Raw genomic sequence first — 19,586 nt, 5'->3', positions numbered from 1 at the left:
TGGAATTCTCCGTGGCTTGCCTAGATGCCCTGACTGTGCTATAACGTGAGAGTGGCAGGGAGGTTTTAGAGTTACATTTATATGGATATCAGCCTACTCTACTAAGTCAATGAAAAACTACCACTGAAAACCATGGCCTTGTGAAGAAAATAACGATGACTTGTTTGCCTAGCCTTTGTTCTATTTAATTTATTTTCACAGAACAATGCCTCCAGATCAGCTTTTGAAAACTCACCTGCAAATTGACATGACTGTTTACCTGTTTGAATTTGGGTGAGTTTCTTTCTCAAAGTAGAAAACGAAGGTTAATTATCAAAATCTTTTAGACTGTGATTCCAGAGATGAGAGGCTGTTTGTGCTGCTGAGCCACGTGATTATATGGATCTCTTTGAGGAGCATTTCTAGCTCCATGGATTTCTGGGGATTAAAATATACCTTGCTGGGGTATGGTGGCTCATGCCTGTAATCCCAGCACTTTGGGAGGCTGAGGCAGGCAGATCATTTGAGGTCAGGACTTCAAGACCAGCCTGGCCAACAGGGCAAAACCCCATCTCTAATAAAAATACAAAAATTAGCTGGGTGTGATGGAGGGCACCTGTAATTCCAGCTACTTGGGAGGCTGAGGTGGGAGAATTGCTTGAACCCTGGAGGCGGAGGTTACAGTGAGCTGAGATCATGCCACTGCACTCCAACAGTGGACCCTGGGGTCCATAAAGTATAAACACAGGATATAATTTTTAATATAATTTTATTTTTTACAGATTGAAGATCTCACAGAATTTTGTGTATTTTACCTGTTTCCAAACTTTACAGATACCATGTGTATATACATTTTCTTGCTCTTTTTTAGCTGTTCATCTTAGTTTCTTTAGTCTTACTTCATTTACTTTTTGCTTTTTATTTTTGAGACAAGGTCTCACTGTGTCACTCACCCAGGCCAAAGGGCAGTGGTGCGATCTCAGCTCACTGCAGCCTCTACCTATTGGGCTCAGGTGATCCTCACAACTCAGCCTCACAAGCAGCTGGCACTACAGGCACACACCATCATGCCCGGCTAATTTTTATTTTTTTGAGATGGAGTCTCACTCTTGTCACCCAGGCTGGAGTACAGTGACACAATCTCGGCTCACTGCAACCTCTGCCTCCCAAGTTCAAGTGATTCTCCTGCCTCAGCCTCCCGAGTAGCTCGGATTACAGGCATGGACCACCATGCCTGGGTAATTTTTTGTATTTTTAGTAGAAACAGGGTTTCACCAGGTTGGCCAGGCTGGTCTCAAACTCCTGACCTCAAATGATCTGCCCACCTCGGCCTCCCAAAGTGCTGGGACTACAGGCATGAGCCACTGTGCCTGGCCTCATATTCTTTATGATCGTTTAAAAATATAAAACCATTCTCAGCTGGCAGGTGGGAGTTTGCTGTTCCCTGGCAAGAAGGCTCCAGCAAGTCCAGAGGCCTAGCTGCTTGTCGTGACTCTGCTCCCCCTGGTACCCAAAGGGAGTCTCTTCACCTACTGGGCTTGGAGCTTCTCGTCAGCAAAGTGTGTGTATGAGACTAGTTCACCTTCAAGAATGCACAGCACAGGTGTGGAGAGTCTGCATTTTGTGGGGAGGGATCCAGGCTGATATTCTCATTGAGAATTCAATATAGAATCTTATTACACAGCAGGAATTAACTCAAGTACACCTTTCCTCTTCTTCCAGAAGTGGATTAGTCTACATGATTTATTTATTTATTTTTAATTTCTTTCTTTCTTTCTTTCTTTCTTTCTTTCTTTCTTTTAAGACAGTCTCGCTCAGTTGCCCAGGCTGGAATGCAATGGCGTGATCTTGGCTCACTGCAACCTCCACCTCCTGGATTTAAACAATTCTCTCATCTCAGCCTCCAGAGTAGCTGGGATTACAGGCACCCACCATCATGCCCAGCTAATTTTTGTATTTTTGTAGAGACTGGGTTTCATCATGTTGGCCAGGCTGGTCTTGAACTCCTGACCTCAGGTGATCCACCCACCTGGGCCTCCCAAAGTCCTGGGATTACAGGCATAAACCACCTCGCCCAGCCTACATAATTTATTTTACTAATCCTGGACAGATGACGTACCCTTTTCTAAACAAAATTTCTAGAGGGAATCATAAAAAACCTTTGCCTACCTCTCTGCTTTTGTCATTAGAGCATCATCTCTAGGAGAGGTTGTAAAAGAAAGGAGGATTTAGATCAAGTTGGGGACATTTGTAAAAATCATGGATTTTTCCCTCAAAAACAATAAAATTGGCAAGGCGCAGTGGCTCACACCTATAATCCTAGCACTTTGGGAGGCCGAGGCAGGTGGCTCACTTGAGGTCAGGAGTTTGAAATCAGCCTGACCAACACAGCAAAACCCCGTCTTTACAATACAAAAATTAGCCAGGTGTGGTGGTGCACATCTGTAATCCCAGCTACTTGGGAGGCTGAGGCAAGAGAATTGCCTGAACCCTGGAGGTGGAGGTTGCAGTGAGCCAAGATCATGCCACTCCACTGCACTCCAGCCTGGGCCACAGATCAAGACTCTGTCTCAAAAAAAAAAAAAAAAGCCAATAAAATTACTATTGGTTTATAGAGAAAACATTGAAACAAGCTTACACAAATACCATTACTGTGCTGTTTTTTAATAAAGATACATTTCACTCTATTTCAAAACATCTAAGTCAGACTGGTAAATTGGGAGCACCAACGCAGAATCCTTTTTGCAAACATAGCAGATTTAAAAAGCACTTAACACATAATACTTCTATTTATTTTTAGGTGGACAATCATGGACATTCCAAATTGAGACCCACAAGGGTTTATGACTACATTGTCAATGAGTGATGAGCCTGCTGGAAATAATAGGACTGATTCAGGACCAGTGAAAGAAGATACACAAACCCAAGACGTGCATTTTCAGAAGGAACGCTTATGTCACTCAACAAACATTTGTTGAGTTTTCACTAGGTGTTAGGTGCTGTGCTAGTTAGAGATGCTGACCCTACCCAAGACAATGAAGATCTCATTTTCTCAGTCCAATTGATGAAAAGTTAAACATCAGCTCTAGAAATCAAGACTGAGAAGATGAGTTCATGTAACTGTCCCTAGATGAATTCTTATCTTCTTGGTCAGTAAGGCAGGGTCCTTGAAGCTAAAAGATACATTTTTTTTTTTTTTGAGATGGAGTGTCACTATTGTTGCCCAGGCTGGAGTGCAGTGGCGCGATCTTGGCTCACTGCAATCTCTGCTTCCCAGGTTCAAGCGATTCTCCTGCCTCAGCCTCCTAAGTAGCTGGAATTACAGGTGTCCGCCACCACGCCTGGCTAATTTTGTATTTTTAGTAAAGACAGGTTTCATCATGTTGGCCAGGCTGGTCTCGAACTCCTGACCTCAAGTGATTCACCTGCGTCGGCCTCCCAAGTGCTGAGATTACAGGTGTGAGCCACTGCTCCTGGCCCTAAAAGAAACACTTTTGAAAACATTAAATAGAACAGCACAGCACATAGAAGAAAGGTGTGGAAGATATTCGAGGGATAATAACTTGCAGTGATCTCATCTCAATGATGCCCACACATCAGTGACCACCTTTCAGCTCCACTACCTTTGGATTATGTACACGAGAAGAAGTCAGCACAGCAGTGATTTGAAGTGTCTTCCTCTAACATACAGAATGTTTTTTCTTTGCCTCAAAATCATCTAAGAGGTGAATCCACTTCACGAGGCTATCAAAGTTTTGAAACACTAGCACATATTTCTCAAAAGCAAATATTCCTGAAGAGTTCATGTTTCTTGCTTTTTGATCACTCCTTATTTAGACCAACTAAAGATCAAATGAGATAAATCTCTTTACATATATATAAAGAGATTTTATATATATATCTAGTTATATATATACAAATATATATATTTTTATTATACTTTATGTTCTAGGGTACATGTGCACAACATGCAGGTTTGTTACATATGTATACATGTGCCATGTTGGTGTGCTGCACCCATCAACTTGTCATTTGCATTAGGTATATCTCCCAATGCCATCCCTCCCCCTTCCCCCCACCCCACAACAGGCCCCGGTGTGCAATGCTCCAAGTAAGATAAATCTCTTAAAGGTATGTTCCCTAATCACTGATTTTTTTTTTCCTCCACAAGCTGAGGTCATCTACCACCTGTGGGGCTTGAAATACCAAAATGAAAAAACTTCCCCAGGAATGAGCACCAAACAAAATTTGCTGGGTAGCAGAAAGGTATGTGCAAAGACTTTCACTGTTAAGCAACAGTTTAGATCCTTTTCTCTATCTTCTATTTCTGTTGCATAGTTCAAATTTTGGGGGGAAGAGTGTTCATAAATTCAAGAAACTTTTTGCCACTTCATCTTTAAGCTGATGTCTAGTTGTCATGAAATCAACCATATTAATTTCCAGGAACCCTCTTCAGGCAGAAGCTCTTCACTAAAAGGGTTATTAGTTAAAAATGGAGAATATGGGCATATCCTGTTCCATATCTTCAAACCTGGAATTGGCGGTCAGCTAGCAGTGGAGGAGAGCAGGGCAGGTGCTCCAACTGGACACAGGCTTGTTGAGCTGTGGGGTCCCTTAAAGAAGGAGTCAGAGGGTAGGGGAACCCTTTTTGGTTGTTTCCTCCTCTTGGCAACAAAACCTGGCTTAGCTTCCAGTGCTTCTTGTTCTTGAAGTTCCTTTGTATTAAACAGAATTCATCATCCAAGAAAATGGCCTATAAATGTCCAGCCATTGCATCAAATTCTGCATCAGAGGAGGAAGAGTGGACACCCCATAGAACTTTCTCCTCTGAGGCATCCCTCATCTCTGGCATGGTGGCATCCTGGTGGCTAACCTGGCCTCTCAACCACCCTGCACTGCCCAGCAGGCACAGGGTACAGGTTGATGGGCCAAGGAAGCCTCATGATGTCACCATGGCCATAGTCCCCACCAGGGGAGTCGGAGCCTAGGTCACTGCTGCTCTCAAGGTCCCAGTTGAGGTTGTCACCAGATTGTCTCAGCCTTCAGGATAAACGGTAGAAAGCTCTGCCCTAAAGGTTTTACAGAGGTCTCTAGAGGGCCCAGGTAATTGAAATGGATTCACATTTCCATCTCCACCTTTGTTTGTTTCTTTTTTCTTTTCTTTTCTTTTTTTTTTTTTTTGAGACAGGGTCTCATTTTGTTGCCCAGGCTGGAGTGCAATGGCGCAATCTCGGCTCACTGCAACTGGCTCATGCCTGTAATCCCAGCACTTTGGGAGGCCAAGGTGGGCGGATTACGAGCTCAGGAGATCAAGGCCATTCTTTTTTTTTTTTTTTTTCTTTTTTTTTTGAGACAGGGTCTCACTCTGTTGCCCAGGCTACAGTGCAGTGGCACCATCTCAGTTCACTGCAACCTCTGCCTTCCAGACTCAAGTAATCCTCCTGCCTTAGCTTCCTCAGTAGCTGGGACTACAGGCATGTGCCACTACATCTGGCTAATTTTTGTATTTTTTGTAGAGACGTGGTTTTGCCATGTCTCCCAGGCTTTCTCAAACTCCTGGACTCAAGCAATCTGCCTACCTCAGCCTCCCAAAGCACCGGGATTACAGGCATGAGTCACCAGGCCCAGCCTCCACCTTTGTTTCTAGTGGCCACTTTTAAGATATTAGCAACAAGTGTCTTAACCTTTTAATGACATTTGTCTCATTTTTCCAGAGTTTTGGAAGGAAGCTAAGTACTTTCTTATTAATCAACCAGGCACAGACAGTGGCTACCGACTGTGCTAACAGTGTTAATGACACTGTGGCAGTGGGTTGGTCAGGCCTGCTCATGGGACTTGTGGAACGAGGGAAAACCTCCTTAAAGACACCAATGTGTTCCCCAAGGCCTTGGCCACCTGTGACCCCAAACTTTTCCTCACACACTAGGTTTGTACTTAACTGCACATCTTTTTACTGTGGTAAAATATACATAAAATAAAATTGACCATTTTAATTTTTTTTGAGACAGAGTCTCGCTCTGTCACCCAGGCTGGAGTGCAGTGGCGCGATCTCGGCTCACTGCAACCTCCGCCTCCTGGGCTCAAGTGATTCTCCTGCCTCAGCCTCCTGAGTAGCTGGGTTTACAGGCGCCCGCCACCGTGCCTGGCTTATTTTTGTATTTTCAGTAGAGACGGGGTTTCACCGTGTTGGCCAGACTGGTCTCAAATTCCTCACCTCAGGTGATCTGCCTGCCTGGGTCCCCCAAAAGTGCTGGGATTAATGGCATGAGCCACCGCGCCCGACCCATTTTTATTATTTTTAAAAATCCTTGAGCAGGAGCCATGTTCATCTTCTCTGTATTGTTCCAATTTTAGTATAGGTGATGCCAAAGCAAGCACCCTTTTTAATTATTTTAAGCAAGCACCCTTTTGAATGATTTTCAAGTGTACAGTTGAGTGTCAATAAATACATTCATGTTGTTGTGCAACCATCACCACTACCCGTCTCCAGGGCTTTTTCATCACACCAGGCTGAAACTTTACATCCACTAATAACTCTCCATTCGTCCCTTCTCCCGACCTCTGGTAACTTCCATTTCATTTTCTGTTTCTATGAATTTGACTATTCTAGGACCCTTACATAAATGGAATCACGCCAGGCTCATGCCTGTAATCCAAACACTTTGGGAGGCCAAGGTGGGAGGATCACTTGAGTCTACAAGTTGGAGACCAGCGTGGGCAACATAGTGAGACTCCATCTCTAAAACAAACAAACAAAAAACAAAACAAAAACCTACTAAAAGTCAGAATTGATTTTTAATCATTTTATTAGTTACTTTGAGTCACTTATCTTTGCCCAAAATTTTCACTCCATTTATACTTTTCCCCACCCCATCGTTATTCTTTTTTTTTTTTTTTTTTTTTTTGAAACAGTCTCACTCTGTCACCCAGGCTGGAGTGCAGTGGGGCAATCTTGGCTCACTGCAACCTCCACCTCCCAGGTACAAGTGATTCTCCTGCCTTAGCCTCTTGAGTAGCTGGGACTACAGGTGAGCGCCACCACGCCCAGCTAATTTTTTTTTTTTTTTTCTGAGATGGAGTCTTGCTCTGTCGCCAAGCTGGAGTGCAGTGGCGCAATCTCGGCTCACTGCAACCTCCGCCTCCCAGGTTCAAGCAATTCTCCTGCCTCAGCCTCCCAAGTAGCTGGGACTACAGGCACACACCACCATGCCCAGCTAATTTTTGTATTTTTTAGTAGAGACGGGGTTTCACCATGTTAGCCAGGATGGTCTTGATATCTTGACCTTGTGAACCACCCGCCTCGGCCTCCCAAAGTGCTGGGATTATAGGCGTGAGCCACCACAGCCGGCCAATTTTTGTATTTTTAGTGGAGACGGGGTTTCACCATGTTGGCCAGGATGGTCTTGATCTCTTGACCTCGTGATCCACCCGCCTCGGCCTCCCAAAGTGCTGGGATTACAGGTGTGAACCACTGCACCCGGCCAATTTTTGTATTTTTAGTAGAGATGGGGTTTCACCATGTTGGCCACGATGGTCTCGATTTCTTGACTTCGTGATCCACTGCCTCAGCCTCCCAAAGTGCTGGGATTACAGGCGTGAGCCACTGCCCCTGGCCCCATGGTTATTCTTTGTACCATTAAGTTCAACCACTGTGACCTCTTTACATTTCCCAAGCAATTACTTTCAAATGTCCATATCACTGTGACTTACTATATCTAGCTTAATCCTCCATCAGAACATCTCCTTTTCTACCAGGTAATGATCTCTGATAAGGAAAAGCACTAACAGGGAACTGGGTCTCCACACTTCGTAAACTGCCCAAGAAGTCTTCCATCCTCCCTTGCTTTCCCACTGGGTGAATTCCTCAGAAGAAGCAACTTCAGAATGTCACTGCTTGCTGTCTGAGCTGTGCCACAATGCCTCTGAATTAGCCTGAGAAGCCTTGGTCAGGAAAAGCAAAGAAATCAGAATTGCAGGATAAGGCTTCTCCCAAAAGACTCTCAAGAAGTGTCCTTTCTATCTGTACAGATCAGAGTGTTTGGACACTGTGCAGAAGTCTCATGAAAAAACATGTAACTTTATCCTGAAGACATCTCAGCTTCCCTTTTTATGTGGATGATCAAGGGTGTCTGCAAGTCTGGGAAAAAGGGATAGAGGAGAATTAACAGCCAATACTCCAGGGCCTGGCTTACTGATAGGGAAATGGCTGTGATGACAGAGGAATCTGGGGAGGCAGGAGGAGCTTGACAGAAACAAATGGATGTCCCAAATAGGCTAGTTCATAATTTTTTAAAAGTTGAATATTAAAAAAATAAAACATACAAGTTAAAAATGCCATCAGAGCCAGGTGCAGTGGCTCACGCCTGTAATCCCAGCACTTTGGGAGGCCAAGACGGGCAGATCACGAGGTCAGGAGATCAAGACCATCCTGGCTAACACGGTGAAACCCCGTCTCTACTAAAAATACAAAAAAAAAAAAAAAAATTAGCTGGGCGTGGTGGTGGGCGCCTGTAGTCCCAGCTACTCGGGAGGCTGAGGCAGGAGAATGGCGTGAACCCGGGAGGCGGAGCTTGCAGTGAGCCGAGATCGCTCCACTGCACTCCAGCCTGGGCGGCAGAGCGAAACTTCGTCTCAAAAAAAAAAAAAAAGCCATTGGATTAAATGTATTAAGGGAGTGGTTTGGAGGGAAAATGTGAACAAGTAGAATGAAACAGTTGGAAAAAATCAGAATGGTACTAGACAAGAAAGTTTTTTGTTTCTTGTTTCTTTGAGATGGAGTCTCGCTCTGTCACCCAGGCTACAGTGCAGTGGCATGATCTTGGTTCACTGCAACCTCTGACTCCTAGGTTCAAGCGACCCTCTTGCCTCAGCCTCCAGAGCAGCTGGGATTACAGGCACCTACCACCACACTCGGCTAATTTTTTGTATTTTTAGTACAGACAGGGTTTCACCATGTTGGCCAGGTTGAACTCCTGACCTCAAGTGATCCACTCACCTTGGCTTCCGAAAGTGCTGGAATTACAGGCATGAGCCACCACACCCAGCCATAGATAGGAAAGTTCTTACAGCTATTGGATACCACTTTACTTTGGTAAAGGGGGGTTAGTAACTGGTAAGAGGTAAGAAGGAGGGCTCTGACATACTAGTTAAGTTCTGTTTCTCAGTTTGGGTGATGGTTAATATAAAAATTCACTAAGCTGGGCTGGGTGTGGTGGTTCATGCCTGTAATCCTGGCACTTTGGGAGGCCGAGGCGGGTGGATCATCTGAGGTCAGGAGTTTGAGACCAGCCATGCCAACATGGTGAAACCCTGTTTTTACTAAAAATACAAAAATTAGCGAGGTGTGGTGCCTGCAATCCCATCTACTCTGCTGAGACAGGAGAATAGCTTGCACCTGGGAGGTAGAGGTTGCAGTGAGCTGAGATCATGCCACTGCACTCCAGCCTTGGCAACAGAGCAAGACTGTCTCAAAAAAAAAAAAAATTCACTAAGCTGAATACTTTTGATATGTGCCTTTACGTATATCGTATTTCAAAGATAAGTTTACTGGAAAAAGCCCTTCTGGAATGATAAAAATAAAGACCTCCAAAAATCCACACCTCTATAAGAGTAACAAAAACACTAGAAAAAATGACCAAAATCAACTTTTTCAGAACTCTGGAAGTTAGCCAAAAGCTTGAAACATCACTAGCAGCCACTGAGGCAGAACAAGTTTGGAAGCCCCCAAAAACTCTATCTTCACAGAATTGTTATTACTTGACCTGTCCAACAGCTCTCTGAAAGGCTCCATTTTCAAGGTTTCTCCTTACTTGACTTGATTCAGAGCTGATGCTGCAAAAGTAGCCTTGTCCCTAGGTTATTTGTTGAAAACAATCCATGGCAATTGTTTAATATGTGCAGCTGCCTGAGAAAATATCTGCAAATCATATATCTGCTAAGGAACTTGTATCTAGGCTATATAAAGAATTCTTACAACTCAATGTAAAAGTGGGTAAAGAATTAAAATAGATATTTCTAGCTGGGCATGGTGGCTCATGCTTATAATCCTAGTGCTTTCTAAGGCTGAGGCATGAAGATGGCTTGAGGCCAGGAGTTTGAGACCAGTATGGGAAACACAGCAAGACCCTGTCTCTACAAAAAAATTTTTTACAAAATTAGCCAGGTGTAGTGGCGTATGCCTGTAGTCCTGGCTATTCAGGAGAATAAGGTGGGAGGATTGCTGGAGCCCAGGAGGTTGAGGCTACAGTGAGCCTCTGCACTGCACTCATGCCACTGCACTCCAGGCTGGGTGGCAGCGGAAGACCCTGTCTTAAAAAATAAAATAAATAGACATCTCTCCAAAGATATACAAAGGTTCAAAAACACATGAAAAGGTGTTCAACATGATTAATCATTAGAGAATACAAATCAAAGTCACAGTGAGATACAGCTTCACACCCACTAGGATGGCTGGTCTCATAAAGACAGGTCACAAGTGTTGGCAGGAATGTGGAGAAATTAGAACCCTTATACACTGCTGGTGGGGATGTAAAATAGTCCTGAGAAACAATTTGGAGATTTCTCAAAAAGTTACACATAGAGTTACTATATCATCATCAATTCCATTCTTACATATATATCCAACAGAACTGAAAACATACTCACACAAAAGCTTGTACACCAATGTTCACAGCATGATTCATAATAGTCAAAAAGTGGAAATGACCCAAATGTCCACAAATGGATGGATGGTTAAACAAATGTGGTTAAACATATGGAATACTATTTGGCAATATAACAAAGTAAAGTTCTGAATCATACTGAAACACAGATGAGCACTGAAGTCATTACACTTTCAGTACAGAAGACCATGTACTGAAATATCTGGAATAGGTAAATCTATAGGAACAGAAAGTAGGTTTCCAGGGGCTTGGAGAAGCGGAGTATGGAGAATCCCTGTAATAGGTATGTGTCTTCTTTTTGGAAGGATAAAAACGTCCTAAAATTAGATATTGGTGATATTCAATGCTGTGAATCTATAAAACCACTCAATTGTACATTTTAAAGGATAAATTTTATAGTAGGTGAACATCTCAGTAAAGCCATTTTAAAATTATTTTTATTTTTTTATTTATTTATTTTTTTTGAGACAGAGTCTTGCTCTATCACCCAGGCTGGAGTGCAGTGGCGTGATCTCAGCTCACTGCAACCTCTGCCTCTCAGTTCAAGCAATTCTCCTGCCTCAGCCTCCTGAGTAGCTGAGATTACAGGCGCATGCCACCATACCCAGCTAATTTTTGTATTTTTAGTAGAGACGGGGTGTTACCATGTTGGCCAGGCTAGTCTCGAACTCCTGATCTCAAGTGATCCACCCACCTCAGCCTCCCAAGGTGTTGGGATTACAGGCATGAGCCACCACACCCAGCCTCAGGAAAGCTATTATATAACAAGAAAGCTTACTTTAAAAATTCCTTCATATCGTTATTAATCACAATTACGCCTACAAGGATAAGTCAGTTTTCCAAGGCACGGATAAAGGCCCCAGAAAACCAGGGACTTTATATGTTTTATAGAAGAGTATTTCCCCAATATGCAGTTCCAGAGCTGAAACAGTAGGTGGTCAGTAAATATCCTTAAATGAATAAATATAGATTAAGAAAGTGTTCAGAACCCAGATTTTCTGATTCCCGGTTCACCCCTCCATAGTGGGGAAGTGGCAAGACAGTGACCTCATGAATAAAGAGCAAGGTTCCCTGGCCAGGATGCCACTTACAGAATTGTTGCTGCCTACAGGAAGGTTACGCTCCTTTCTGGGGAATGGACGTGCTGTCTATAGGGACAGACACACTATTTGGCATATGGGTAGCAATTGACAGAGCATCCCAGCAAAAAAAGACTCAGGTCTTGGAGGCAGGTCACCCCGGCTCGATTCCAGGCTCTGTCTCTTAATAGATGGGTTTATCCAATCTTTCTCAGCCTATATTTCCTCATCTGTGAATGCAGGTAATAATACTCGCCTCTTACCTCATAGGGATGTTGTAAGAAGTAAATGAGAAGCATATACCTAATGCATGTGGCTCATTTGGGTAATATCTGATAAATGTTTTAATTTACATTGATAATATCGAATAAACAGGTTTCATATATCTTTTTTTTTTTTTTGAGACAGAGTCTTGTTCTGTCACCCGGGCTGGAGTGCAGTGGCGTGATCTCGGCTCACTGCAACCTCTGCCTTCCGAGTTCAAGTGATTCTCCTGCCTCAGCCTCCCAAGTAGCTGGGAATACAGGTGCGTGCCACCACAGCTGGCTAATTTTTTTTGTATTTTTAGTAGAGACAGGGTTTCACCATGTTGGTCAGGCTGGTCTTGAACTCCTGACCTCAAATGATCCACCCGCCTCGGCTTCCCAAAGTGCTGAGATTACAGACATGAACCACCGTGGCTGGCCTCAAATATCTTGTAAAAAATAAAAGGGAGACAGGTCAGTGGTTGTTTTCAGACTTTGCAGGGAACTGTTACCTGAAAAGGTTTGGAGCCTCACTCCTACCCTCCCCACCACGGTGGCATTGAGCAAGGTAGAGAACAAAAACTTCTTCCCTGTGGAGCAGCTCCCACTCCCTAGCAGCCCACAGCCGGGCATGAAACCAACACGATTATCTTGGGGGCATGGATAAAAGGCAGGAGACAGGAAACATTTTGCCTCACCTTGAGAGAGAAGAGGGACCCAGATATTTATACCCCCGTACCAAATATCTTTTCCCCTCTGTGTTGCAATGGTGCTACATTTGTTGTTTTTCTAATTAAAAAGGAGTACATTGAGGGGCAACTGAACTTGAACTGGTTCGCATCAGGAGCTGTAAACTCAGTCTTCCTGTTCATTAAAAGAGGAAAAAAAAAAAGCTTTCCTTTTGCTTGACACCTGTTAATAGCATGCCTGTGGAAACAAGTAACCATGCTCGAAAACAATCTCCAATTGCTGGATGGAAACAGCCGTTGTGATTGTTTAAGATACAATATACGTAAAGCAAGCAGCACCGTGGTTAGCATGTTGTTGGTACTCAGGAAATGGTAACTATTATTTCAAACACCTTTTCCTTAAATGCTCTGCTGGTGTAGTGCTCACTACCGTGGAATAAACTTAACTGAATAGTGCCCTCCAGAGGCCACTGGGAATTCAACTGTGCTGACAGTTGAAAAAAGGTCTGGAAAAAGACTACAAATACCATTTAATTGTCTTGTACATTGATGTGGAGTCAGCACCAGAGCCCGGTGTCCCAGGATGTATTAGAACATGACCGACTGTCTGATTTGTCACCCACAGCAGCCTTTCTTTGGCTAGGGCTTATTTGTTTGCAAAGGACACTTATGAGGACATGGAGATCTTGGGGAAACAAGTCCAGCTAGGCACTGTGGGAACTGGTGCTGGAAACTGCCAGCCCCTGGAAGGTACTGTCCCATCCCTTTTTCTGGGGACACTGTCTTTCATCCCTGTCCTTTTCTGCATGTCCACTCTGTGTTCCTCTAAAGAAACCAGCTTCCTCTTGACGTCTGCCATTCTGTAACTGTAGTACGGGCATGTGGCTCTGACTCTTTCTGGACATGAATCCAGATGTGGTTCCGTTTGGTGTTCCAGCTCATCCCACACAGCAAAGCAGCGTGGTCTCTCACTGGCTTGATTCCAGATTTTCAGGAGATTAAACTGGTTGTCAGTCAAGTCTAATGGCTGGGTTTAGTCTATCTATCCCTGGTGGGTGGCCAGGAGGTGGAGGTGGGGATGCGTGGGCGTGTGTAGGGAGACAGGGCCAGTGTCATGTGATACTAAACAAATTTAGCACATATGGAACTGCAGGAAGGGCGAGCATGTCAAAGGGTCTGTTTTTCTACAAACACGGAGCTAGTATTAATAGAGCTTTACCATGTGCCATGCACTGTCCTAAGAACTTTCTAAGCATCATTTCATTTAATCCTAAAAACCTCCTATGATATTTGATCCTGCAATCGTTCCCTCTGAAGTAACTGCTGATAACAATGTTTGTGTATCTTTCCATAATTTTCCTAACGCATTTTATTCCCATTTTAAAATGAGGGAACTAAAGCTTAGAAAGTTTAAGCCAAGATTTAAGCCAAGACAGTCTGATTCTTTTTTTTTTTTTTCAGGTTAGACAGGTAATGCACTGACATTGCAACAAGGTTTGAGGGTGGCACATCTCACACACGGCCGTGAACACCCAGTCATCATACTCACGAACTACAAAAGGATCAAGGCAGGCTGATTCTAAAGCCAGGATGTTAAACACTCACCCCACCTTCCTCCCAGTGTAGCCCCTATGGCATGGTAGATAATTTGGCTATGCAGAAAAAACATCAAATTTGGTCTGGTTCTCAGGGAGGTTATAATCTGGTTAAGGAAGGCAAGATTTATACATGCAAAACAATGAGTAAATGACAGGAGAGGGATCAAGTACTAAATTGCATGTTGCCATTATATTTGTTTTCTATTGCTACGTAACAAATTACCACAAATGTAGAAGCTTTGGAGCAATACCCATTTATTAGCTCACGGTTCTGTAGGTAAGAATACAGCTATGGCATGGCTGGGCTTGTGTTGACTGGAGCTGCCAACAATCTCATCTGGGGCTCAGGGACCTTTTTGAAGGAGTTAAAATATGCTATCCTGGAATACTGATTATTTAAGTTAAAGGCACTTGAAAAACAGCAGGTGCAAAAAGATCACTTTGACCTTCATGCTGTTTCTTAAAATCAGAAGATTAAATTCCCATGTGAAAGACGCCCTCCCTATACTAGTAAGATGCAACATCCTTGCCATCAAGGACGAGAAAGTTGAGGTCAAGGAAATTCTGTACAAACAAGCCTTTCTCTTCCTAGCTATTTTCCTACCCTATTTACTATCCTAGTGCAAGCCCCTTCGCCTTACACATGTTCACAGTTTACTATTGCGTCCAATCCAGAATGGAAGAAACTGACAATAACTGCTTCTTTGGGTCTTCATTATTTTAGGAGGACTCCTGTAAAACATCTGTAAAGAAATGTGTATGCTTTTTTCCTGTAATCTATCTTATCTCAATTCTCAGGACCGTAAGAGGATGGAGGTGGTTTTCCTGCTCCTATATCTTCCAAGCTCACCGCTTGATGGCAGAGTTCAATTCTTTGTGGTTGTAGGCCTGAGGTATCTTTTTCCTGTGAGTTGCCAATCAGGGACTGCTTTCAGTTCCTAGAGGTTGCACTTCTCCATCTGCAGTTGACAGTGGAGGTTATTTGCTTTCCTCTAGGTCAGCTGGAGTATTTTTCTGAGTGTTACTTCTGTTACCGGCCAAACTTTCTGCTTTGTTTGTTTTGCTTGTTTGTGTTTTGAGACAGAGTCTCACTCTGTCTCCCAGGATGGAGTGCAATGGCGCGATCTTGGCTCACTGCAACCTCCGCCTCCTGGGTCCAAATGATTCTTGTGCCTCAGCCTCCCAAGTAGTTGGGATTACAGGTGCACGCCACCATACCAAGCTAATTTTTTTCTATTTTTAGTAAAGACAGGTTTCACCATGCCTTGGCCCAGCTGGTCTTGATCTCCTGACCTCGTGATCTACCTGCCTTGGCCTCCCAAAGTGCTGGGATTACAGGCGTGAGCCACAAAAGATGCTTGCTTTTTTTTTTTTTTTTTTTTTTTTTTTTGCCACGTCTACTGCGAGAATGAAGACCATTCTCAGCAATCAGACTGTCAACATTCCAGAAAATGTCAATATTACTCTAAAGGGATGCACAGTTATTGTGAAGGGCCCCAGAGGAACCCTGCGGAGGGACTTCAATCACATCAACGTAGAACTCAGTCTTCTCGGAAAGAAAAAAAAGAGGCCCCGGGTTGACAAATGGTGGGGTAACAGAAAGGAGCTGGCCACCGTTCAGACTATTTGTAGTTATGCACAGAACATGATCAAGGGTGTCACACTGGGCTTCCGTTACAAGATGAGGTCTGTGTATGTGCACTTCCCCATCAACATCATTATCCAGGAGAATTGGTCTTCTGTTGAAATCTGAAATTTCTTGGGTGAAAAATACATCTGCAGGATTTGGATGAGGCCAGGTGTTCCTTGTTCAGTATCTCAAACTCAGAAAGATGAATTAATCCTTGAAGGAAATGACATTGAGCTTGTTTCAAATTCAGTGGCTTTGATTCAGCAAGCCACAAGGTTAAAAACAAGGATATCAGGAAATTTTTGGATGGTATCTATGTCTCTGAAAAAACGAACCATTCAGGAGGCTGATTAATAAGATCTAAGAGTTGTCCAGCTACAGAAACAAGATGCCGGATGCTTCCTAAGACCTATATGTGATATTTAAATGATGCAATAAAAGACCTATTGATTTGGGAAAAAAAAAACTATAAAAAAATTAGCCAGGTGTGGTGGTGTGCACCTGTAGTCCTAGCTACTTGGGGGGCTGAGGTGGGAGGATCACTTGAGCACAAGACGTTGCAGTGAGCTGAGATCATGCCACTGCACTCCAGCCTGGGTGACAAAGTGAGACGCTCTCTCAAAAAAAAAAAAAAAAAAAAAAAGATTGCGTGAAAAAAAGTTTGTGTATGTACACATATAAATCATAATAAATCATCCCATTACTGGGTATATACCCAAAGGATTATAACTCATTCTACTATAAAGACACATGTACACATATGTTTATTGCAGCACTATTTACAATAGCAAAGACTTGGAACCAGCCCAAATGCCCATCAATGATAGACTGGATAAAGAAAATGTGGCACATATACACCACGGAATACTATGCAGCCATAAAAAACGATGAGTTCATGTCCTTTGCAGGGACATGGATGAAACTAGAAACCATCATTCTCAGCAAACTAACACAGAAACAGAAAACCAAACACCGCATGTTCTCACTCATAAGTGGGAGTTGAACAATGAGAACACACGGACACAGGGAGGAGAACATCACACACTGGGGCCTATTGGGGGATGGGGGTAAGGGGAGGGAGAGCATAGGACAAATAGCTAATGCATGTGGGGCTTAAAACCTAGATGACGGCTTGATGGGCGCAGCAAACCACAATGACACATGTATACCTATGTAACAAATCTACACATTCTGCACCCATATCCCAGAACTTAAAGTGTAATAAAAAAAAATCATGGCCGGGCACAGTGGCTCACGCCTGTAACCCCAGCACTTTGGGAGGCCGAGGCGGGTAGATCACGAGGTCAAAAGATCGAGACCATCCTGGCCAACATGGTGAAACCCCGTCTCTACTAAAAATACAAAAATTAGCTGAGTGTGGTGGTGCACGCCTGTAGTCCCAGCTACTCAGGAGGCTGAGGCAGGAAAATCACTTGAACCTGGGAGACGGAGGTTGCAGTGAGCCAAGATCGCGCCATTGCACTTCAGCCTTGCGACAGAGTGAGACTCCATCTCAAAAAAAAAAAATAATAATAATAACTCAAACCTCACAAACTGAGAAAAATTAATGATTACATGGTATTTAGATAATCAGATAGTAATTTACAAAAAATTAGATTTATAATTTCCATCAAAATAAATGCCCATTAAATTTAAATTTAAATTTTAAAGATAAATTTAAAAATGTAATCACTAAAATTGGTAGAAGAGAGTTGTGGGTCTTTGGGAAAATGACATCATCCTAAGATCTGAAGAAGTGAAAAGATGATTATAAAAGAAAAAAATCAGACTTGCCTCAGAGACAGTTAAAACTTCCATATAGTAATAACAACATTTAAAAGATTAAGGAGAATTTTAACCACATGGGGTAAAAAGATTAAGATCTATAATATTTAAATGCATATCCAGTGCTGCAGATGAGGGCCCCAAGAGATAATGGACAAAGGACATGAATAGATTGTTTAGATGACAAGTAAAATAAAATAGAAAAAAAAAAATTAGGGCAAAATGGCCAAACTTCCTGATCAAATAAGTGCAAATTAAAACTACAAAATGAGCCATATTTCAATTAAGAAAACATAAATTTAAATTATAATACCCAACCTGGAAATGCTTCTGGCACTCTGGCATTCATACATTATTGGTAGGGGTGTAATTTGGTAAAATAATTTGTATAAAACAATTTGGCAAAAATGTCCTTTGATTTAATACCTTCACTCCATGAAATTTGTCCTAAAAGGATGGTTCAAAAGGAAAAAAAATAGTCAAGATCACAAGCATTTTAAGCAGCACATATACTAAAATTGGAACGATACAGAGAAGATTAGCATGGCCCTTGCCCAAGGATGAAAAAATAAAAATTAAAAAAAAGTTAAAAAAAAATAAATGCCGTGTTAACACTGACAGACTGGCAAGGACAGAAAGAACATGCTTACCTAAATTATCAGTGATGATTATACCTATCAAGACCACTTAATAAGGAGGAACGTGTTCAAATGTGTTAAGTGAAAAAGTGTAGTCACACCAGACCAATCTGGTTCCACTTTTATGTAAAAACATGGAGAGCTGTTTTTCGTTTGCCATGGTCCCTCAAGTCATGTGACCTCAGCATGCCTAGATGAACCAAGCCTGCAACCACAGGAAGAACCTAAGTGCTTGGGCTGAGGAGTGGGATGGAATTAAGAAGGGGACACTGTATGGCAGGATCCAGAATCCAATCAGATTGAGCTCTGGCATTACCCCATGGCCACATCCAGTCATATCAAGTATCCCAGCATCACCTCATTGCAAGATCCAATCAGGTTACACCTCATTACCGGACCCAGCCCCCAGCTTGGGGAGGCACCGCATTGGGAGCTATCCCTGGTATTCTCCTTACTTGACTTGTTGCAAGGAATAAAATCCCTTGCCAAATCCTCCTTCACTGTCATCATCAGGCTGTCACCTGTCAAGTGACTGAACCCACCCATTGTGTGGGTAAGAAAAGGATAATAGAGAATTCTGCACGTAGTATGATTCAAAGTAATTCCTGTGGTGTTTGTGAAGCTGCGAGAAAAACAGCACTTTTGTATATTGTCACTGGGGATACAAACTAGTATAATCTCTTGGGGAAAGCAATTTGCAATAGGAGTAACACATTTAAAATGTGATTCATTTGAGGATCCCACTTCTACGAATGTATCCATTACATATACTCATACATATACACAGACATATGAACATAAAATGTATTGCAGAATTCTTTTTTTTTTTTTTTTTGAGACAGAGTCTTGCTCTGTCCCCCAGGCTGGAGTGCAGTGGCATGATCTCGGCTCACTGCAACCTCAGCCTCCCAGGTTCGAACGACTCTCCTGTCTCAGCCTCCTGAGTAGCTGGGATTACAGGTGTACATCACCACTCGCAGCTAATTTTTGTATTTTTAGTAGAGACGGGGTTTTACCATATTAGTCAGGCTGGTCTTCAACTCCTGACCTCAGGTGATCCACCCACCTCAGCCTCACAAAGTGCTGGGATTACAAGTGTGGGCCACCACACCCAGCCCAGAATTCTGGACACAGCAAAAAAGACTATACAGTAAAAACACCCACCAGTTGGTCACTGATCAAATAAATCACATGAGGAACCTCCAGTGGGATACTATACAGCTGTTAAAAAGAATGAGAGACAAAGTGACATGTTCTGATTTGAAACAAGTGCTAAGATGGG

The 19,586-nt window shown here is 42.9% G+C and overlaps 1 protein-coding gene, 1 non-coding gene and 3 pseudogenes across 7 annotated transcripts in view; 2 read left to right on the top strand and 3 right to left on the bottom strand.

The window, feature by feature from the left end:
- PDZD2 (PDZ domain containing 2) overlaps nucleotides 1-19,586 on the bottom strand; it is a 471,802-nt gene that overhangs the window by 272,137 nt on the left and 180,079 nt on the right. The window lies entirely within an intron of this gene.
- RNU6-760P (RNA, U6 small nuclear 760, pseudogene) lies at nucleotides 6,261-6,357 on the bottom strand (annotated as a pseudogene).
- Nucleotides 14,114-14,217, bottom strand: LOC124901200 (small nucleolar RNA U13). The gene has a single exon (XR_007059164.1). It is a non-coding gene; the product is annotated as a small nucleolar RNA U13 (small nucleolar RNA).
- On the top strand, nucleotides 15,632-16,336 carry RPL9P17 (ribosomal protein L9 pseudogene 17; annotated as a pseudogene).
- Nucleotides 18,167-18,236, top strand: RNU6-358P (RNA, U6 small nuclear 358, pseudogene; annotated as a pseudogene).

This window comes from Homo sapiens, chromosome 5, assembly GCF_000001405.40.
Source record: "Homo sapiens chromosome 5, GRCh38.p14 Primary Assembly".
In the NCBI taxonomy this organism is placed as follows: Eukaryota; Metazoa; Chordata; class Mammalia; order Primates; family Hominidae; genus Homo; species Homo sapiens.
This window is presented reverse-complemented; position numbering and strand designations above follow the sequence as displayed.